At 45.4% G+C, this 20183-nt stretch overlaps 1 protein-coding gene across 3 annotated transcripts, besides 3 other annotated features; it reads left to right on the top strand.

The window, feature by feature from the left end:
• TMEM231 (transmembrane protein 231) lies at positions 23-19568 on the top strand. Of its 3 annotated transcripts, none has more exons than NR_074083.2 (7): positions 57-238; positions 336-505; positions 10232-10483; positions 10814-10957; positions 13626-13707; positions 14854-14959; positions 16135-19568. NR_074083.2 is itself a non-coding variant. In NM_001077418.3 (7 exons), the coding sequence occupies exons 1-7, from the start codon at positions 100-102 to the stop codon at positions 16313-16315; spliced, it is 951 nt and encodes a 316-aa protein (NP_001070886.1). In that variant the 5' UTR covers positions 57-99; the 3' UTR covers positions 16316-19568. The 3 variants fall into 3 exon arrangements, 2 of the variants coding, with proteins under 2 accessions (NP_001070884.2, NP_001070886.1); NM_001077418.3 differs by having other exon boundaries at positions 10355-10483; NM_001077416.2 differs by having other exon boundaries at positions 23-505; positions 10355-10483; positions 16135-18192.
• Positions 287-366: a silencer, noted in NCBI's record as "silent region_7724". NCBI's record gives its function as "represses an Ori minimal core promoter by ATAC-STARR-seq in GM12878 lymphoblastoid cells {active_cell/tissue: GM12878}" and the evidence as "EXISTENCE:reporter gene assay evidence [ECO:0000049][PMID:35858748]".
• Positions 5961-6020: an enhancer, noted in NCBI's record as "active region_11136". NCBI's record gives its function as "activates an Ori minimal core promoter by ATAC-STARR-seq in GM12878 lymphoblastoid cells {active_cell/tissue: GM12878}" and the evidence as "EXISTENCE:reporter gene assay evidence [ECO:0000049][PMID:35858748]".
• Positions 6061-6130: an enhancer, noted in NCBI's record as "active region_11135". NCBI's record gives its function as "activates an Ori minimal core promoter by ATAC-STARR-seq in GM12878 lymphoblastoid cells {active_cell/tissue: GM12878}" and the evidence as "EXISTENCE:reporter gene assay evidence [ECO:0000049][PMID:35858748]".

Genomic DNA, 20183 nt, shown 5'->3' with positions numbered 1-20183 from the left:
TTTCTGTGAGCCGTCGGTTGCCGTGGAGACCGAGGCGATGGCAACCAGGAGAAGCCAAACTTGGTCCCCCGGCTCGCGGAGTGCCTGCGAGCGGTGCTCATGGCGCTCTATGAGCTCTTCTCTCACCCGGTCGAGCGCAGTTACCGCGCGGGGCTCTGCTCCAAAGCCGCGCTGTTCCTGCTGCTGGCCGCTGCGCTCACGTACATCCCGCCGCTGCTGGTGGCCTTCCGGAGCCACGGTGAGCCTGCCCCGGCCGCTGTGCCACGAGGCTCCCCGGGCGCGCTCGGCCAGGGCCGGCCTCCCTAACCGCCTCCCTACCGCCCTCTTTAACTCAGGGTTTTGGCTGAAGCGGAGCAGCTACGAGGAGCAGCCGACCGTGCGCTTCCAACACCAGGTGCTGCTCGTGGCCCTGCTCGGACCCGAAAGCGACGGGTTCCTCGCCTGGAGCACGTTCCCCGCCTTCAACCGGCTGCAAGGGGATCGCCTGCGCGTCCCGCTCGTTTCGGTGCGTGGTTCCCGCCTGGGCCTGGGGCAGAGTCGGGGATAGGGTGGGGATGGGGACTGGAATGAGGATGTGGGGCGAGCGGCCCCGGCCCTGGGGAGCCCAGCTTTGATCCTAAGGACTCGCGAACCCGCAAAGGTGGCGTTTCATCTCCTAGGACCTAGGGAATCGATCTTCTGTTTCATTCTGCTTCTCCCAGATGTCCCCGGCCCCCAGAAAGTTAGCCATGCTGTCAGCGTGTGCGCCCTGACACAGAGTCCAGAAGTGTGGGGGCAGCCTGTGTCTGCCCGGGTCACACCCGCGGGCCTGGCCTGATGGAGGGTGTTTGTGAAAGTCCATTTAGGAGCCTGGAAGGCCGCGCGCTGTTAATGTAGATAACCCCATTCTGTCGCGGCGTTTCTGCATCACACCACTATAGGAACGGAAAGGGCAGCATTTTTATGCAGACCTGACCCCTGGAAACCAAGGCGCTGATTGGTTAAGCGGCCTTCCCAGAACGCGCTGTGGCCGAGTCACGCCTCCCTGGGTTTGTCCCATTGGAGACTGCGCCATCCTGAAGCTGTCGGGATGAAATGGAAGCATGTTACTGTCTGTAATTTATTTATTTATTTTTAAATTTTTTCACCAGTAGAGCGCTGAGAGGAATCTGTAATTTAGTATTTGCTTTGAGATAAGCGAATGCTTCCTTTGTAGTCACTCCTTTTCACTCATTTTCTGAAAACGTTTTCCTTTAGAAGTATGAAACTTCTGGTTTTCCTTCTTTCAAATTCGAATCTCTTCAGACATATCTAAGATGATTGCCCTACAAGCCAACCTTGTATAGCTGAGGAGAAAAGAAAATCAGACTTGTTCCCAGCAACTAAATAAAATTGTTTTTAAAAATCCGATTGGTCGTATAAATAACTGCAAAAAAAATAGTAATAGGTTGATGCAAAAGTCATTGCGGCTTTTGCCATTAAAAGTAATGACAAAAAACCGGAATTACTTTTGCACCAACCTAATATGATTCAGGTTACTTTTCTCCTATTACTTTATAAATGTTCTTATATTCTGATTACAAAAGTGCATGCTCATTCTAAAATATGATAGAGTTACAGGTAGATATAATGACAGAAATTGAAGGCTCAGTTTTGTATATGTATCAATACTTATTAATCAGCTGTATTCTTTTTGAGGTTTGCTTTGACTTTTTCACTATTAGGGACAACATTTCTTTTTTTCTTTTCTTTTTTCTTTTCTTTTCTTTTTTTTTTTTTTTTTTGAGACACAGTCTTGTTCTGTTGCCCAGGCTGGAGTGCAGTGCTGCAATTCTCTGCTCACTGCAACTCTGCCTCCTGGGTTCAAGCAATTCTCGTGCCTTAGCCTCCCGAGTAGCTGGGATTACAGGCTAATTTTTGGATTTTTAGTAGAGAAGGGGTTTCACTATGTTGGCCAGGCTGGTCTCGAACTCCTGACCTCAGGTGATCCACCCGCCTTGGTCTCCCAAACTGCTGGGATCATAGGTGTCAGCCACTGTGCCCGGCCTAGGGACAATATTTCAATGAACAAGGTTTTGACTAAATCTTATGCCTTTAAACATCAAATTTTGAGGAATTGGAATAGCAGCTCTTTGATGAAATGGTATAAGTACATAGAAAACTAAGCAAATAATTATTAACTGCAGGGAAATGAAAAGTAAGGAAAACTGAGAACCAAAATGTTATCAGAGTTGTGAATAGGATTGACATAGTCTTAATTATATGAACACTGAATGTTTACTAAAAAGAGATTTTAACTCTATTGGGGGTAATGAGAAAGGTATTGGGTATGTGATAGGGGATGGTGGGAGGAATTGGGGGAGAGAAGAAGCTAAATCATCTTTCCTTGTGGGAACTCAATAGAGAATGCCTAAAACTGAGAAACTGAGAATTTTCAATGCAAATGTTATCTCAAGACCTGGAGATACATTTCTAAATGATCAGGTAAATGAGATAAAAATATTTGCCGCCAGAAATGATAGCTCACACCTGTAATCCTAGCACTTTGGAAGGCTGAGGCAGGAGGATTGCTTGAGCCCAGGAGTTCAAGGCCAGTGTGGGCAACATAGCAAGACCCCACATTTCAAAAAAATAAAAAATTAAAAAGAAATAGAGAAGTGGTACAATTTGCCCTAGCTTTTCTTCTTTTCTTTTTTTTTTTTTTTTTTGCAACAGAGTTTCACTCTGTCAGCCAGGCTGGAATGCAGTGGCACAATCTCAGCTCACTGCAACCTCTGCCTTCTGGGTTCAAGCAATCCTCTCGCCTCAGCCTTCCAAGTAGCTGGGACTGCAGGCATGCACCACCACTCCGGGCTAACTTTTTTGTGTTTTTTAGTGGAAACAGGGTTTCACCATGTTGGCCAGGCTGGTCTAGAACTCCTCAACTCTGGTAATACACTCACCTCAGCCTTTCAAAGAGCTGGGATTACAGGTGTGATTACAGGTGTGAGCCACTGCTTTGAAGTGAACAGAGTCTGGACTGGAACTCAGTATTTCTTATGCTATATCTTAAAATCTTAGCCCTTATTGCAACAAACTACTTTTATTTTCTAACTTTGAACATAGAGCCAGACTGACGTCAGTCTATCCAGGAAACTGTCCAGAAGGCAAAGGAAACAGTGGTTGTTGATTAAGGTTGGACCAAGTGCTGGGAGGTGGCTTTGCAGTGGCTAATTGGGGGAAATGCTGAAGTCACAAACAGCCTTGCTTCTGCTTTGGTCAGCTCATCCTGGACAGCGTCTCTAAGCTCCCTACATGTTTAATGCTTTGGAAGTCTAGTTTTTGTTGTTTTTAATGAGAGAAGAGAAAAGCAGAGTGACTTTTTCCCCCTCAAGCCTCAAGGAGGCTGACATAGCTCTTGAAGGCATGTGTGGACCCAGAGAATACAGGGACTGAAGGTTATAGAAGGATTCCAGAGGATGAGTGGAGAGTACCGTGTTTCTAAGACACCTGTTTCTTCTCATCCCTGAAATCAGTGTCTTCCTGTCTGTGGTTATCAACTGTTGGCAAGGAGGCAGGTATGGCATAGTTCTCATTGCTTACACCTGTGCCGGCATCAAAACATGCAGAAGGGGCATCATTTCTGTGTAAGAGGTAGGTGTTAGAAAAATAAAAATGCAATTAAAAAGAAGGGGCATCAGCAACCTCAGAGGAAACCCCAGAGACAGTAGTAGAACATTTTTTTAACCCCTGAATTGAATGGAGAGCAAGTAAGGGAAAGTTTGAGAGGCTTTTAAAAACAGGAAAGCTCTCCATAATTTCAAAGTCTGCTTAAGGGCCCAGACCAATGGCTTTTAGTTTCTTTTATGAATTGTTTGTTTGTTTGTTTGTTTGTTTTGAGACAGGGTCTCACTCTGTCACCCAGACTGGAGTTCAGTGGCGCAATCTTGGCTCACTGCAGCCTCCGCCCCCCAGGTTCAAGAGATTCTCCTGCCTCAGCCTCCGAAGGAGCTGGATTACAGGCTCCTGCCACTACGCCTGGCTCATTTTTGTATTTTTAGTATAGATGAGGTTTTACCATGTTGGCCAGGCTGGTCTCGAACTCCTGAGCTCAAGTGATCTGCCTGCCTCGGCCTCCCAAAGTGCTGGGACTATAGGCATGAGCCACCATGCCCAGCTGAATTTTTGTTTTTTGTTTTTGTTTTTCTTTTAATGCTGTATCACCAACATGTTTGATGGCACAAAGGACAAAGTTGCATAGAAAAGTATGGGTTGTTGACTGAGTTAAAGTGTTACTCAAAAGGATGAGGATGTAAAGAAGTTTTAGGAATCCCTGAATCAATTTATTTTGCCTATATTTTTCTTTCTTTTCTTTTCTTTTTTTTTTTTGAGATGAAGTCTCACTCTGTTGCCCAGGCTGGAGTGCAGTGGCGCAATCTCTTCTCACTGCAACCTCCGCCTCCTGGGTTCAAGCGATTCTCCTGCCTCAGCCTCATGAGTAGCTGGGATTACAGGCAGGCACCACCACGGCCGGCTGATTTTTGTATTTTTAGTAGAGACGGGATTTCATCATGTTGGTCAGGCTGGTCTCGAACTCCTGACCTCAGGTGATCCACCCACCTCGGCTTCCCAAAGTGCTGGGATTACAGGCGTGAGCCACTGCCCCGACCTATTTTGCTTATATTTTTCTAAGTAAATAAACATATCTGTGTAAATATGTCTAAATCTAAAAGCTCTTTTAGTAACTTTTTAAAAAGTAAGTGATTAGAAAAGTGTCATAGTTTAATTGGAAATGTTTTTCTTTTATCAGTGGTATATAAAATAATGGTTCATTTTATAAGTAATGGTATCTTAGATTGAAATACAAGGCTGAGCACTGTGGCTCATGCCTATAATCTCAGCACTTTGGGAGGCTAGCCCCTTGAGCTCAGGAGTTCCAGACCGCCTAGGCAACATAGTGAGGCCCTACTATAAAAAATTTAAAAATTAGCCAGGGGTAGTGGTGAATGCCTATAGTCCCAGCTACTCAGGAGGCTGAGGTGGGAGGATCACTTGAGCCTGAGAGGTCAAGGCTGCAATGAGCTGTGATCGTGCCACTGCACTCTAGCCTTTTTTGACCCTGTATCAAGAAAAAAAGAAATAGAAAAAAAAAGAAATACAGGTAGAAAGGTGGAAAGGAACCACGAAGTGGCAGTTTCTGCTTTGCTAGAGACCCACAACTGGTGCCAAAGAGTATTTTTAGCTTAAAAAGAAAGGAGCACCCGGTGATGACAAGTATATGGTGAAATAGACACTGGTATAAACTAGGAAATTAACCTTTAATAAAAGAATATGGGCCGGGCGCAGTGGCTCACGCCTGTAATCCCAGCACTTTGGGAGGCCGAGGCGGATGGATCACCTGAGGTAGGGAGTTCTAGACCAGCCTGGCCAACATGGTGAAACCCCGTCTCTACTAAAAACACAAAAATTAGCCGGGTGTGATGGCAGGTTCCTGTAATCCCAGCTGTTTGGGAGGCTGAGGCACGAGAATTGCTTGAACCCGGGAGGCGGAGATTGCAGTGAGCTGAGATTGCACCACCCATACTCCAACCTGGGCAACAGAGCCAGACTGCATCTCAAAAAAAAAAAAAAAAGAATACGACTTAAATGAATGAAATGTACGCAAACAAAACAGAAACCAAACAAAATTCCAACAAACCGTCAGATGCTGGGAATTCCTGACGGGGAAAAAAGTCACACATCAGGATACTCTGGAAACAATGGCACTTGAATTTCTGGCAATTCCTGCAGTCAGGTGGTGTGCTGGTTATGAGGTATTGTCTCAGCTCCAAACCCACCCTCCTACGCTCAGCTTCCAGGTTCCTGCTGAGATGCTGGAAACCACCTTCTTCCCCTGCAGCTTCCTGTTAGGTTCTGCCAGTAGGAGGCATGATGAGCCTTGTTCTGGGAGTGCAGAAAAAAAGAAATGAAACCAGTCACCACTGCCAGGGTGAAGAACCACTGTGGATGCCACAAACAGGGACAACCAGCAAACAGGAAGGAGCAGGACGCCTCTCCTACCGGCTTCAAGGTTCCCTCTAGTGCATGCTTCCTCCAAGCTCAGAGGTCCTGGCCCCATCTGGGCCGCGGTCCCTTCTTGAAGTCTGAGGCTCAGCTCTTCGAGGCCTCTTCCCTGAACCTCTAAGTTCTATCAGTCCCACCCGCTTCCCCTTCTTCTCTAGTCCTAGGTGTGGGAAATGTTCCCTGCAGCTACTATCTCTGTGTTGCTGGGATATCCCCTTTTTACGTCTTCAGTCCTCTAATACCTATGGGACTATTTATTCCCTATGTTAAATTCCCTCTGGCCAGGTGCGGTGGCTCATGCCTGTAATCCCAGCACTTTGGGAGGCTGAGGCGGGCAGATCACCCAAGGTCAGGAGTTTGAGAATAGCCTGGCCAACACGGTGAAACCCCATCTCTACTAAAAATGCAAAAATCAGCTGGGCGTAGTGGCGCACACCTGTAATCCCAGCTAGTCAGGAAGCTGAGGCAGGAGAATCACTCGAACCTGGGAGGTGGAGGTTGCGGTGAGTGGCGATTGTGCCACTGCACTCCAGCCTGGGCAACAGAGTAAGACTTCGTCTCAAAAAAAAAACAAAAAAATTCCCTCTGACTCTGCTCAGTACATGCGTGTGGATTTCATGTGTATCTCTAAAGGGTTATCCTCCTTTAACCATGAGAAATCTTTTCAGTTAGAGTTCTTATGAGCTATTATAGAAGAGCCCTGAATCAGGAGTCAGCAAACCAAGATCCTTGTCCCACAAGGTCCTAGTCCCAATTCTGTCACTGGGTTTCATAACCTCACCCTCAATTTATCTATCCATATACAGGGCATGAGAGTACCCACATCTCTCCTGGGATATGCAGAGGAATCACGTGGGACAATGAATGGATATAAAAATTGTTCCAAAGCCTGTATATACGTTGTAGATATAAGGTGGTGGTGTGATATGTGAATTCTCTTGGCTAAGTACCAGTTGGAGGTTAGATAGCGACCTAGAATTTGTGTTAAAGAAGTAGTAGCCTTTGAATGCCTGCCTTTGTTAGCTATTGCACATATGTTAAACTTACTTTCAACTAAATGGAATTAAATAATTGATTTATTCAGTGGTCCAAGTGATAACAGAGGAGCACAGCCAAACTTCGCCAGCCCCAGGAGGGTGAGAGTCCAGCTTGGTGACAGGTCATTTGTGGGAGACACATCCTTTCCATCGAAACTTCTCTCCCCCCTCTCTCCACCCTGCTCTCCTTCTCACCCACTCTGCCAGATGCATTGATCCCACGGGTACCCAGAGCACATGTACCTGATTAGCCTGGATCCCTCCTCTCTGAGATGTTCCTGCACCCCATCACTTCACTTCCTTCAGGACTCCAACAAGTTGGGTCATCCTGAATATTTAAAAATTTCTGTTAAATTCTTTTTGGGTTTTTTTGTTGTTTGTTTGAGATAGAGTCTTGCTCTGTCACCAGGCTGGAGTGCAGAGGCACGATCTCGGCTCACTGCAACCTCCACCTTCTGGGTTCAAGCGATTCTCCTGCCTCAGCCTCCCTAGTAGCTGGGATTACAGGTGCACGCCACCATGCCTAGCTAATTTTTGTATTTTTAATAGAGGCAGGGTATCGCCATGTTGCCCAGGCTGCTCTCGAACTCCTGAGCCCAAGCAATCCACCCACCTGGGCCTCCCAAAGTGCTGGGATTATAGGCATAAGCCACCACGCCTGGCCAATTTCTGTTAAATTTTACCTTCATTATTCTCTAATTTTAGCCTGCTTCATTTCTGTCAGCGGCACTTGTCACTGTTTTCTACATTGTCCATCGGGAATGTATGCCCCATTAGGATGGGGACTTTGTCTATTTTGTTTACCATTATAGTCTCATTATTTGAAATAGTGCCTGGCGTGTTTCCAAAAAGTACGTAACAGATCAATGAGTGAATTTAACAAGTAGACACTATTGATGGTGTTGTGCCAAATCTGTCCCCCGCGAACTTGGAATGGAAGGATGTGCACAGGCAAGTATACAGACGTAGATGCCTGGTGCTGCTGTTTTTCAGGAAGATTTGTCCAACCTGCTGTCTTCATTTGGAATTTTTAAAATAATTTTAGACATTTTGGTCCTAAAAAGAGGACCAGATTTGAAGTCACCTGATCTCAAATCCTGTCTTCACCATTACTTGCTGTACCTCTGATAAATGCCCTAATCTCACTCATCCTTGATTTTGTCATCTGTGTAATGGGAAAATACCTGTTCTGCCTGCCTGGGGCTTTACATTTATTGTAAAGATCAAAGGAAATGAGCTTTTCCCCCTCCCACAGTGTGTTGGAGTCTGGATTCTTCTGGCAGTTGTCTCCTGGCCACTATCCTCTGTTGCAAGTTGAGAAATGTGCTCTTTTCTTCCTGTCCAACCCTAAAGATCTAGAAGGTGTGGATCCATCACAGAGAGTTACATAAGATTTTCTACCCAGATCCCAATTGAAGAAAATCCACAGGAGACAAGGCAGGCTCTTTTATTTATTTTTTATTTTATTTTTTTGAGATGGAGTCTCGCTCTGTCACCAGGCTGGAGTGCAGTGGCAAGATCTTGGCTCACTGCAACCTCCAACTCCCTGGTTCAAGCGATTCTCCTGCCTCAGCCTCCTGAGTAGCTGGGATTACAGGCACGTGCCACCACTCCCAGCTAATTTTTGTATTTTTAGTAGAGACGGGGTTTCACCATGTTGGCCAGGATGGTCTCGATCTTCTGACCTCATGATCCGCAAGGCAGGCTCTTTTCATCCTACCTATAATGACTAGTCCATCATTGCCTCAGTAACTTGATCATCAGCCCTGGTAGCAGATATCCCTCCCCGAAGCTGATGAAACAGGGCAGAGAGGAAGTATCCAAGAGAAAAGGGAGGGAGGTTTCTCTAAAACAAGACCTAAGAGAAGGAACATTATTGTCTAGAAAGAAAGAAATAATTGAAAGTTTCTGAAAATTGAGATTTCTTCATTTCAAATGACCTTATTATTAGCCTGAAAAAGCACACACACAAAAAATCTCTTCCTTACGTAATAGTAATGGTGGGAATCAAAATGAATCCATAGATGGTGGATCCAGATGGGAATGCTGCTACACGATAGTAGAATTGTTCTGGGAATCCACAGTGGGAAAGGATCAGTTGTAGCAAAAAGATCCAGAGTTGTGCAGAGGGACCATGTCAGCAGTGATCACTTTTCAGTAACCGTGCTTTCCTGATCATCATTTTAGCATCACTGTTTGGCAAGACTGTGGATGGTAGGAGTGGATACCAGTTTTTTTTCACTGCCTACATATGCTTCATAAGCTGTATTTTGTCTTTTTTCCTCTACAGACCTCTGTCTTCTTTCCTTTCATGCCCGTAATTTATCAAATAGATATGGTTTTAATACTTTGCTGATTTGACATAGCTTCCTTTTTCATTTCATTGATTGCTACTAAAAGATGCACAAGGCTTTCAGGTCCTCACACGAATGATGAGATAAGATCCAACATCAAGAATCTGAAGCAAAGACACTCGTGGTTTCAGAATCTATAAACAGAGTTTGGTAAGGCCGGGTGCGGTGGCTCACGCCTATAATCCTAGCACTTTGGGAGCCTGAGGTGGGCGGATCACCCGAGGTCAGGAGTTCAAGATCAGCCTGGCCAACATGGTGAGACCCAGTCTCTACTAAAAATAAAAAAATTAGCTGGGCATGGTGGTGGGCACTTGTAATCCCAGCTCCTCAGGAGGCTGAGGCAGGACAATTCCTTGACCCTGGGAGGCGGAGGTTGTAGTGAGCCGTGATTGCGTCACTGCACTCCAGCCTGGGCGATAGAGTTAGACCCCGGCTCAAAAAAAAACAAAAAAAAATAGAGCTTGGTGATTTTCTGTTGAGTTTGAGTTTGTTGGAGGAATGCATAATGATTAGGATTAGGTGTTTTTCTATTTTAACAAGTTGACTTCTAGAGACATAGAAGACTATTCTGACATGCTACTTAAAATTTCCATACAAATTCAGGCATATTTGTAAAAAAGAAAAAAATATCAGTGCAAAATAAGCAAGATCACATGAGACAACTGAAAGGCACAAATACTATCCAGATGTTTTTTGTTATTGCCCATTTATTTTGGCCAGTGAACATTTGAAAGGCCCAGATATGAAGTTCAGGGACCATGCACTTTGTGTCTCTCCCCAGTATTAATGCACTTACATCTATCTGCTTTTCTCTTTTAGTGGAGGAGATAATGCCTGTTGTGTACAGCAAGACAGTGGGTCATTGTGTATTTACAGAAGTGATGTGGATTCCTCCCAGACTCATTAGTGACCAGGGCTGCTGGGCCTGTTTGGGTTTCCTAGACTAGAGAAGAAGACAGGAACCAGGATGGGAAGACGGACATGTTACATTTTAAGCTGGAGCTTCCCCTGCAGTCCACGGAGCACGTTCTCGGTGTGCAGCTCATCCTGACTTTCTCCTATCGATTACACGTGAGTCAGTCCGCTGGGAGGCTGTCCTCTCCCTTGTGTCTTTTTAGTAGACCAGAGTCCTTCTTCTGATTTCTAGAAGACCCGCACTCTAGCGGGCCCTCTTCCCCATGTAGTTTGGGATTTAACTTAGGCCAATGGAATGGTTTTCACTAGTCATATTAACTGACATGGGCTATTAATAGCTCAGAAGGTTCTAGGCAGTGTTTCCTGCATGGCTACGCTAGGTATGTGAGGGCCTCTTAGGTTTCAGCCAAGACAGGTGACTCTTAGCACCCAGAGCCCTTCAGATCTGATGGCGGTTGGTATTGTTGGTCCTTCTAATGATTTCAGAGGATGGCGACCCTCGTGATGCAGAGCATGGCGTTTCTCCAGTCCTCCTTTCCTGTCCCGGGATCCCAGTTATACGTGAACGGAGACCTGAGGCTGCAGCAGAAGCAGCCGCTGAGCTGTGGTGGCCTAGATGCCCGATACAACGTAAGAGCGCTTCTCATTGTCCAGCTCCTTTGTTTCTCTGTGTTACTGTTCATTAAGTTCTTTAAAGAGGGGAATGAAAAGTAGAAATGTCAGGCCAGGCGCAGTGGCTCATACCTGTAATCCCAGCACTTTGGGAGGCGGAGATGTGCGGATGGATCACTTGAGGTCCGGAGTTTGAAACCAGTCTGGCCAACCTGGTGAAACCCTGTCTCTACTAAAAATACAAAAAATTAGCCAGGCGTGTGGTGCGTGCCTGTAATCCTAGCTACTTGGGAGACTGAGGCAGGAGAATTGCTTGAACCCAGGAGGTGGAGGTTACAGTGAGCTGAGATCTCGCCACTGCACTCCAGCCTGGGCAACAGAGCAAGACTCTGTCTCAAAAAAAAAAAAAAAAAAAAAAAAGAAAAAGAAAAGAAAAGTAGAAATATCATTTCTTTGTGGGTGGCACCAAAGAGGGTCTCTGTAGAATTCTTGCCATGAATTTTTTCAAACTACAGAGAAGGTACACGCATAGTTACACCTAGAAGGGAAGAGAAACAAAATCTGTGTTTGTCGAAGAACTAAATTGCTTATTGCTTTTAGGTCCACGTGGGTGCACACACACACATTGTGTCTTCCATACACACGCTTGGTCACACGCAGGATGTACTCCGAAGGACACTGTAAAATGATGATGTAAAATGTTCATGTAAAGTATTTCAGAAATATTACTAGCCATAGTTTACTGAACTCATAACATATGCCACCCCTGAGTGCAGGCGTTTACCTATATCATCTCCTTTAATCATCATGGCAACCTCTGAGCTGCCTGCATTGTCCTTTCCCCGCACTCCAGCCACTTGTCCCATCACTGCCCCCGCTTGCTCCCTTCCAGCCCCCCTGGCCTTTTTGCTGTTCCTCAAACCCAAGAAGCAGCTGCCACCTCAGGGCTTTTGCTTTTGCCATTTCCTCTGCCAGGCATCCATGTGGCTTATCGGACCATGCCATTCAGGTCCCTGTTCAGATATCCCCAAGCCCAGTCCTTCTCTGACCTGCTTCTACAGTAGCAGCCCCTCCTTCCACCATTCCTCAGCCAGACTCTCCCTCCTGCCGCCTGGCCTACTCAGGATATGTGTTTGTGTGTTTATTTGCTGTCTCCCTCAGCCTTGACAGCAGTGGCATCTCAAATACTATCACATCCGTGCCTAGCACACTGCCTGGCAGATGGTAAGCTCACAGAGATACTTGTTTAAATAATGAACTCATTTTGCAGAAGACGTAACTGGGGCTTAAAGTGATTAATTTTCCCAAAGGCTCAAATCTTGAAAGATAACAGAGCCTGTCTGTGTGCAGAACTCATGCATCTAATCACTCATTCCTCACTTTTATTTTATCACAATGGGGACCATAGAAGTTGAGCTGAGGTACTTCTGAAAATGAAAAAGGGATGTTATCGGTTATTACAGCCATAAACCCAGACTTGTAGATATATAGTGGGTTTTACTGTTGCTCTGACTATAATCAATATAAGTTGTAAAGAATAGGAAGCTGCAACATATGAAATGAATATGGCACTTTTTGTTTGAATGTCTATATATCAGATTACATTAACAGCAAGCAATTATTTCCTCCTTTAAGGGATTATATGCTTATGGTTTGCATTTTATCTATATCTCTATATTTAAAAGTGATAAAGAACTTAGCACCCAGAAAAGACCAAGAAAATGACAAAGGAGTTGGAAGTATGGTTTCTTTTTTTTGTCTTTGTGTAGGGGTTTTTATTTGTATTTTATTTTTATTTTTGAGACAGAGTCTTGCTCTGTCACCCAGGCTACAGTGGAGTGGCATGATCTCGGCTCACTGCAACCTCTGTCTCCCAGGCTTAAGAGATCCTCTGATTTCAGCCTCCTGAATAGCTGGGATTACAGCCATATGCCACCACGCCTGGCTAATTTTTGTTTTCTTTGTAGTAGAGATGGGGTTTCACCATGTTGGCCAGACTGGTCTCGAACTCCTGGTCTCAAGTGATCCATCTGCCTGGGCTTCCCAAAGTGTTGGGATTAGAGGCGTGAGCTTCCATGCCTGGCTTTTTATTTTTTTTTATTTTTATTTTTTTTTGAGAGATGAAGTCTTTCTCTGTTTCCTAAACTGGAGTGTAGTGAGTGGCATGATCATCATTGACTACGGCCTTGAACTCATGGCCTCAAGTGGTCCTCCTGCCTCAGCCTCCCAAGTCACTGGGATTGTAGGCATGAGCCACCACACCTGGCGAAAATACGGTCTGTTAAAATAATTTAAGGAATTCTTTCTCCCGCTGAGATAAAGAGGGGTATTTTAAAAATAGCTTTAAAACCTGTAAAACATGGACACTGACCCCTTATTTCCATCCACAGAAAGAAAGACTGAGAGTAAATGGGCTTAAATTGTTGCAAGAGAGTTTATTCATCTTTGAAGAGAAGATTATTGATACTGCAGTAGGCCACCAAGAACAAGAGGGTGCTCTGTGGGACCAGCCTGGGTGGGCAGCAGCCTGTTTTATTCATCTTTGAAGAAAAGATTATTGATACTGCAGTAGGCCACCAAGAACAAGAGGGTGCTCTGTGGGACCAGCCTGGGTGGGCAGAAGGGTAGAAGGAAAAGGGGAGGAGTCTCCCAGGTGCTCACACCACATCCTCCTCCCGTGTCCCAGATATCCGTGATCAACGGGACCAGCCCCTTTGCCTATGACTACGACCTCACCCATATTGTTGCTGCCTACCAGGAGAGGAACGGTGAGTCACAGGTAGAGCCCATTCAGCCGCTGCTCAGGACTTTCAAGGTTAGTGGGGGCAACAGAGACAAGCAGAACTGGAACCCTTGTGATGAAAATGTCAAAACCCGTGAATGCTCAACGATGGGAGCAAATATGCTGTCCAGGATTTGTCTTTTTCGTCCTGATCTTCAGACCTGGGACCGCCCCCACCCCTCCAGCATCCCATGGTCCAGCAGGCTAGTGATGGTTAAATGCCATCATTATCCCACCACTGGCTTAGTGGGTTTCTCTTTTAAAAAATATAAGCCTAATTGAGTTGTTCCCCATACCACACCTATCCACACCTATAACAGATGCCAAAGACAAATTGCTGTTCATGCTTTTCAGAGAAAAACAGAGAACGTGGGTGACTCTCCCCACATTAGCAGTCCAGCAGGAGAACAGGAGTGCCCCTGTTTCCTGCCAGAAGGCACAGTGTGCTTATTCCTTACAGAGCTCTAGGCCATGGCATGTGTGGACTCGGCACGTTTGTCTGGTCGGTGGCTGAGGTTTTCTCTAAAAGCATCTACAGTGTTACTTGGCAAGCAGACATCATGGAGACTATACACAGACGTCTCACAAGGGGGATGACTGCAAATCCAGTATTGCTTACTGATTTTATGGCATATACTAGTGGCATTATTGCAATAATAGAGGGAATTTTAAAACAAAAGTAGAAAACATTGCCCTACAAATCAACTATTTTTTCATTCCTTTCATTCTTTAGCCTTCTGCAGATCTTTTTATACAGCCATTGTAGTGTAGAAACACATTGGGATCCAAGTTACTTTTATTTATTTAAACTTGGAATATAAATACTTCCCCACACAGCTACAAAGCTGTGATACTACTTTTAGTGGCAGTATAGTATTCCTTCAGTTAGCCATTCAGCACATGTAGAAGAAACTCTTTCCAAGTTTTTTATGTATTTTAACAAAAGTATTTTGACTATTATTTTAACAAATAATGTGTGATCAGCTTTGCACATGCAATTTCTCTTTCCTTCCGAATGATTTCTTTCAGTTCTGAAGCACAGGATAATTTCCAGGTATCAAATAATCTTTATAGCCTTCAACTGCCAGAGTCAAACAGCCATCGTGGTTAATGGTTAATGATTGCATTGCAGTTACCACCGTCCTGAATGATCCCAACCCCATCTGGCTGGTGGGCAGGGCCGCAGATGCTCCATTTGTGATTAATGCTATCATCCGATACCCTGTGGAAGTCATTTCATATCCTTTCTGTTAAAGAGTCCATGTTAAGGCTGGATGTGGTGGCTCCTGCCTATAATTTCAGCACTTTGGGAGGCCAAGGTGGGAGGATCATTTGAACCCAGGAGTTCACAACCAGCCTGGCCAAGATAGTGAGTCCCTGTCTCTACCAAAAAAAAAAAAAAAAAAATTAGCCAGGCATAGTGGCGTACATGTGTAGTCCCAGTTACTTGGGATGCCGAGGCAGGAGGATTGCTTGAGTCCAGGAATTCAAGCTTGCAGTGAGCGATGATTGTGCCACTGTACTCCAGCCTCGGTGACAGAGTGAGACCCTGCCTCTTAAAGCAAACAACAATTTAAAAAAAATCAATGGTAGCTCAGTTTTCAAAGAGGAATGATTCCTTAGTTGTCTCAAGTAGTAACAGACGTGGGAGGTTTTCTCTTGGAAATCATGACAGGGTTATAGCCTCATAAAAATGGCTGCGTCTTTGACATCTTAGGCTACATGTCTCAGAAAATGACTGTATGTCTGCTATTCATATAGGAACAAATAATTCATGTCTTGGTCCTATTTGTTTCCAAGCAATTCTTCTAGGTAAGAATCATCCATATTTATGTCTTAATAATCATATGATATCCCTTTTATGCTAAGGTTATGTGAAACATTCTTGCCAGTCCCTGTCTGACCTAAACTTTGGTTTAATTTTGACTTAGGTCGACTAATGGAAAATGAAACCAACACCAACACTGCAGAGAAGCAAACAAAAGAGAAGGCATTTTAACTGGGGTCTTAGGAATTACAATTCCAGAGACACAAACCTAGGAAGCAGCTAAATTGTGTTCCGTACAGGTGCAATTAGGCAGGGGCTAAGGGTGTTCCAAGTTTACACAACTGGAAGATTTTAGAAGATGGATGGATGGCTGGTTAACAGCTCAGGATATCTCTAGTCCATGATCAATCTAGTTTGGCATAGTTGTCTGTTTAGGAGGTTGGTCATCAGGCTTGGTATATAAATAGCTCAAATCAAATGTGGCTGGTTTTACCATTTGGCCAAGTTCAGGTCAGCTTCCATCTGGGTGTGTACATGACAGAGGTCCTGCCTCCTTTCGAGATACCTCTGCCACAGCCAATTCCATCTTGGATTTTCTCTTCATACTTAACACCATGTGGCCCTTCACTCCTTAACTGTCCATACTTATCAGCCAGGATTCTGGGAGATGGTAAAGTTCGCCTGGGTGCAGTATGTCAGCATCCTGCTTATCTTCCTCTGGGTGTTTGAAAGAATCAAGATCTTCGTGTTTCAGAATCAGGTGGTGACCACCATTCCTGTGACAGTGACGCCCCGGGGAGACTTGTGTAAGGAGCACTTATCCTAGAAAGGCCATTTCTGAAGACTCAGCAGGACCGTGGCTGCCTCATTGTCATCTTCTGGGAACATCTTAGGACCTTTTGAAAGAGCCCAGCGGACACCTGCGGGCTTGTGTGCTTTTCCCTCAGAGACAACGGTTCTTTCCGGTTTTGCTCTACACAGTTCCGTATCTTCAGAGCTCCTGCAGAATTGTCAGGGACTAGTTTGTGGAAAGGTCTGAGAGTTCCTGGAGGCTATAATTAGCTTTTTGGGTTTTCCTTCTTTGCCTTAGCGTTGAATTTCAGGAGAAAATTGCAGTCAGTTCAGACATCTTGGAAAGAGTCCCATCTCTGGTCAAGCAGAGACTTTTCCTCTGTTGAACTGAGGAACACACTGTGCATTTCTACCTTCTGTTGTGAGCCACTCTTACTCTTTTCAGGGCTCTCTTGTGACAAACATGCCAATCACTAGCACTTTGCACCCCTGGGCTTCTCCATTTCCCATTCACAGCTTTGATTTCCAGAGCTGAGGCCTTTAACTGGAGACCTGGAGGGGCAGGGCCCAAGGGCAAGGGCCGCATTAGCACAGGCAATCAGGGAGGGCCGCTGAAGGACACTTGGACCGTCCACCTGCCCCAGCCCAACAGTCAGTCATCTGTCATCAGCTCAGCTGAGCAGCCCTGGATCTTTGCCGTACTGTGACTGGGCTCTTTGCCCTATTTTTCCCTCTGTCTGTGCCCCTGGATGGCAGGCTGAAGTCAGAGGGGCTGTTTCATTCTCAGCCCCCTCAGCAGCACTGGGGGAAGAAAGCATTGTCACAACAGGTTCTTTCTGGCCCTCACCCAACAGCCTGGGCACTTGGCCCTCCTCCTCCTTGACAGCCCTCCCCCTTCCTGCAAAGGACAGGGGCGACAGGGGTTGGTGTTGGGATTGGCTCCCGCTGCCTGACAACCACAAGTTTATTTGGAAGGCTAGCGGGAAGCCCAGCGGCTGGCGTTTCCCTTGACTAAGGAACAGGGTGCCCATCAGAGTGGGGCGGGCAGCTTTGGGAAGGACACAAGAAGCAGTAAGAGTGTAAAGAGGATGCTGGCCTGGGCAGGCCAGTCCAGCCTGGCCACTAGCAGAATACCAAGCAGTCCAGTGGATTACCCTCGTGGCTAAGCAAGTGTCTGCAGGAGCAGAGATGGCTGGAAGGGGCCTCTGCACACGGAAGATGGCTTGTTCAGCCCATTCACCTCCTGAGGATGTGGGCAGTCTCCTCCAAGAACACATGGAGCTGCTTCCTGATCCCAAGCAGGTCATTGCCACTGGAAGGACATGGCCCCGGTGATCCATGCTTCATGCCCACCCAGAAACACACCCCTCAGTGTGTGCCTCAGTTTACTTTGGAGATCAGTTGTCGTTTTTAGTGCTCCTTTAGGCTTACTAAAACAGTTTTGGAAACAAAGCTATTTTGAAGTATTCAAGCAGAGGAATTCCCTAACACTGACCCCCTTGTCTTTTTTTAATATTCAGGCTGTTTTATATGCCTAAATTTTTTTCTTAAGATCTAAACGAAAAATAGTTTCTTGTTTAAATTCACATAAGGCAATGAGATATGGAAAGATGACAAGATACGTATAAACATTGGTTTGCATTTTATTAAATTATTCTAATGCAAATCTTGTATAAAGAACCCATGATGTTTTGTAACTTTCTAATTAAAATGTTCAAAATGAGGCCGAGCATGGTGGTTCATTCCTGTAATCTCAACACTTTGGGAGGCCAAGGTGGGAGGATCACTTGAGCCCAGGAGCTTGAGGCTGCAGTGTGCTATGATTGCACCACTGTACTGTAGCCTGGGTGACAGAGTGAGACCCTATCTGTTAAAATAAATAAATAAATAAATAAAAAAGTCAAAATGGAAGATCACATGTACCTTTTTCGAGGGAAAGGGTTTGGAATGGCAAAGAATAGGGAGGGCAGAGGTTGCACACACCTGTCTTTATTACTCATCTACAGCCATGCTTTACAAGGCTCTGCCTAACGACCTTGGAACTTCCATGAGGTCTTTGGTGAAAGTCCCCTAGTTCTTCCCCAGGTAGATGAGTTTTCAGTGGGATTCACATGCCATGTGAAATCTACGTGTTGGATAATTATGACTGTGTCTGGTGAATATGAAATTATTTACAGACCAGATGTTGATAGTTTCTGACTCTGAATCACAGCATAGCTGCAAGAGGTAAATAAAAAGCAAGAGGCCGGGAGCGGTGGCTCACGCCTGTAATCCCAGCACTTTGGGAGGCCGAGGTGGGTGAATCACAAGGTCAGGAGATCGAGACCATCCTGGCCAACATGGTGAAACCCCATCTCCACTAAAAATACAAAAATTGGCTGGGTGTGGCGACACGTGCCTGTCATCCCAACTATTTAGTAGGCTGAGGCAGGAGAATCGCTTGAACCCTGGAGGCGGAGGTTGCAGTGAGCCGAGATTGCGCCACTGCACTCCAGCCTGGCAACAGAGCTAGACTCCGTCTCAAAAAAAAAAAAAAAAAGAAATATAGAGGATTTTATTAACTCAGCTCCGACCCATAGCTAAGTTAAGGTTTGATGTTATTACTGAATATTTGGAGGCAGAAAGACTCCTGATTTTGCCAAATGATTAGTACAGTTTCGGCTTAAGTCAGATGAGGCCCCCCTAATATTCCATCATGTAAGGCTAATAAAGCAATTATTTCTTTTTTTTTTTTCCTTCCAACTTTTATTGTAGACTCATGGGGTATATGTATGGGTTTCGTATATAGCTAAATTGTACAACCTGGGGGTTTGGTGTACAGATTATTTCATCACCCACGTAATAAGCATAGTACCCAGTAGGTGGTTTTTCTTTTCTTTTTCTTTTTCTTTTTTTTTTTTTTTTTTGAGACAGAGTCTCACTCTGTTACCCAGGCTGGAGTGCAGCAGCATGATCTCAGCTCATTGCAGCCTCTACCTCCCAGGTTCAAGTGATTCTCCTGCCTTACCCTCCCGAGTAGCTGGGATTACGGGTGCCCACCACCATGCCCGGCTAATTTTTGTGTTTTTAGTAGAGACAGGGCTTCACCCTGGTGGTCAGGCTGGTCTCGAACTCCTGACCTCAAGTGATCCATCCGCTTTGGCCACCCAAAGTGCTGGGATCACAGCAGTTTGATCACAGAAGTTATTATGGTTGGCATTCTGGCACACATCTTTCTAATCTTTTTTGTTGTATGTAACCTTTTTAGTATCACAAACAACACTTTTATAAACCTTGTGTAGAAATCATTGTTGCTGGTTTATTTCCTTAAGATACATTCAGAAAACTTATGACCATTGTTAAGGATCTTAATTCATTGCCAAACCACAGCCAGGAAAGACTGCTAATTTCTACTCCCAGCAGCAGGGACTCCTCGTTTCAGATACCACCATGGATTAAAGGACCTCCCAATGCTCTATCCTTTTCAGATTACTGGACTCTGCCCGTTTGTTTCTTTGTTTTTGAGATGGAGTCTCGCTTTGTCACCCAGTCTGGAGTGCAATGGCCCCATCTCCGCTCACTGCAGCCTCCACCTCCGGGGTTCAAGCTATTCTCCTGTCTCAGCCTACCTAGTAGCTGGGATTACAGGCATGTGCTACCATGCGCGGCTAAATTTTGTATTTTCAGTAGAGATGGGGTTTTGCCACGTTGACCAGGCTGGTCTTGAACTCCTGACCTCAAGTGATCTGCCTGCCTTGCCTCCCAAAGTGCCGGGATTACAGTCATATGCCACCAGGCCAGGCTGAGCTGTTATTTGTAAGGGGTGGGTGGGGAGCTTTTATTTACTGAAACATATCCTGTATTCATTGGAACATGTTATCAAGCCTGCGCCTCTGGGCGGAGGCTAGGGCAGGGAGGGCACA

This window comes from Homo sapiens, chromosome 16 (genome assembly GCF_000001405.40).
Source record: "Homo sapiens chromosome 16, GRCh38.p14 Primary Assembly".
In the NCBI taxonomy this organism is placed as follows: Eukaryota; Metazoa; Chordata; class Mammalia; order Primates; family Hominidae; genus Homo; species Homo sapiens.
This window is presented reverse-complemented; position numbering and strand designations above follow the sequence as displayed.

Excerpts from the sequence above, each read along its gene's own strand:
- TMEM231 (NM_001077416.2), top strand. The coding sequence starts at position 38 with ATGGCAACCAGGAGAAGCCAAACTTGGTCCCCCGGCTCGCGGAGTGCC. Across the intron at positions 10,484-10,813 it reads CTTTCTCCTATCGATTACAC|AGGATGGCGACCCTCGTGAT; the intron begins GTGAGTCAGTCC and ends TAATGATTTCAG. Across the intron at positions 14,960-16,134 it reads TACCCTGTGGAAGTCATTTC|TTATCAGCCAGGATTCTGGG; the intron begins ATATCCTTTCTG and ends AACTGTCCATAC.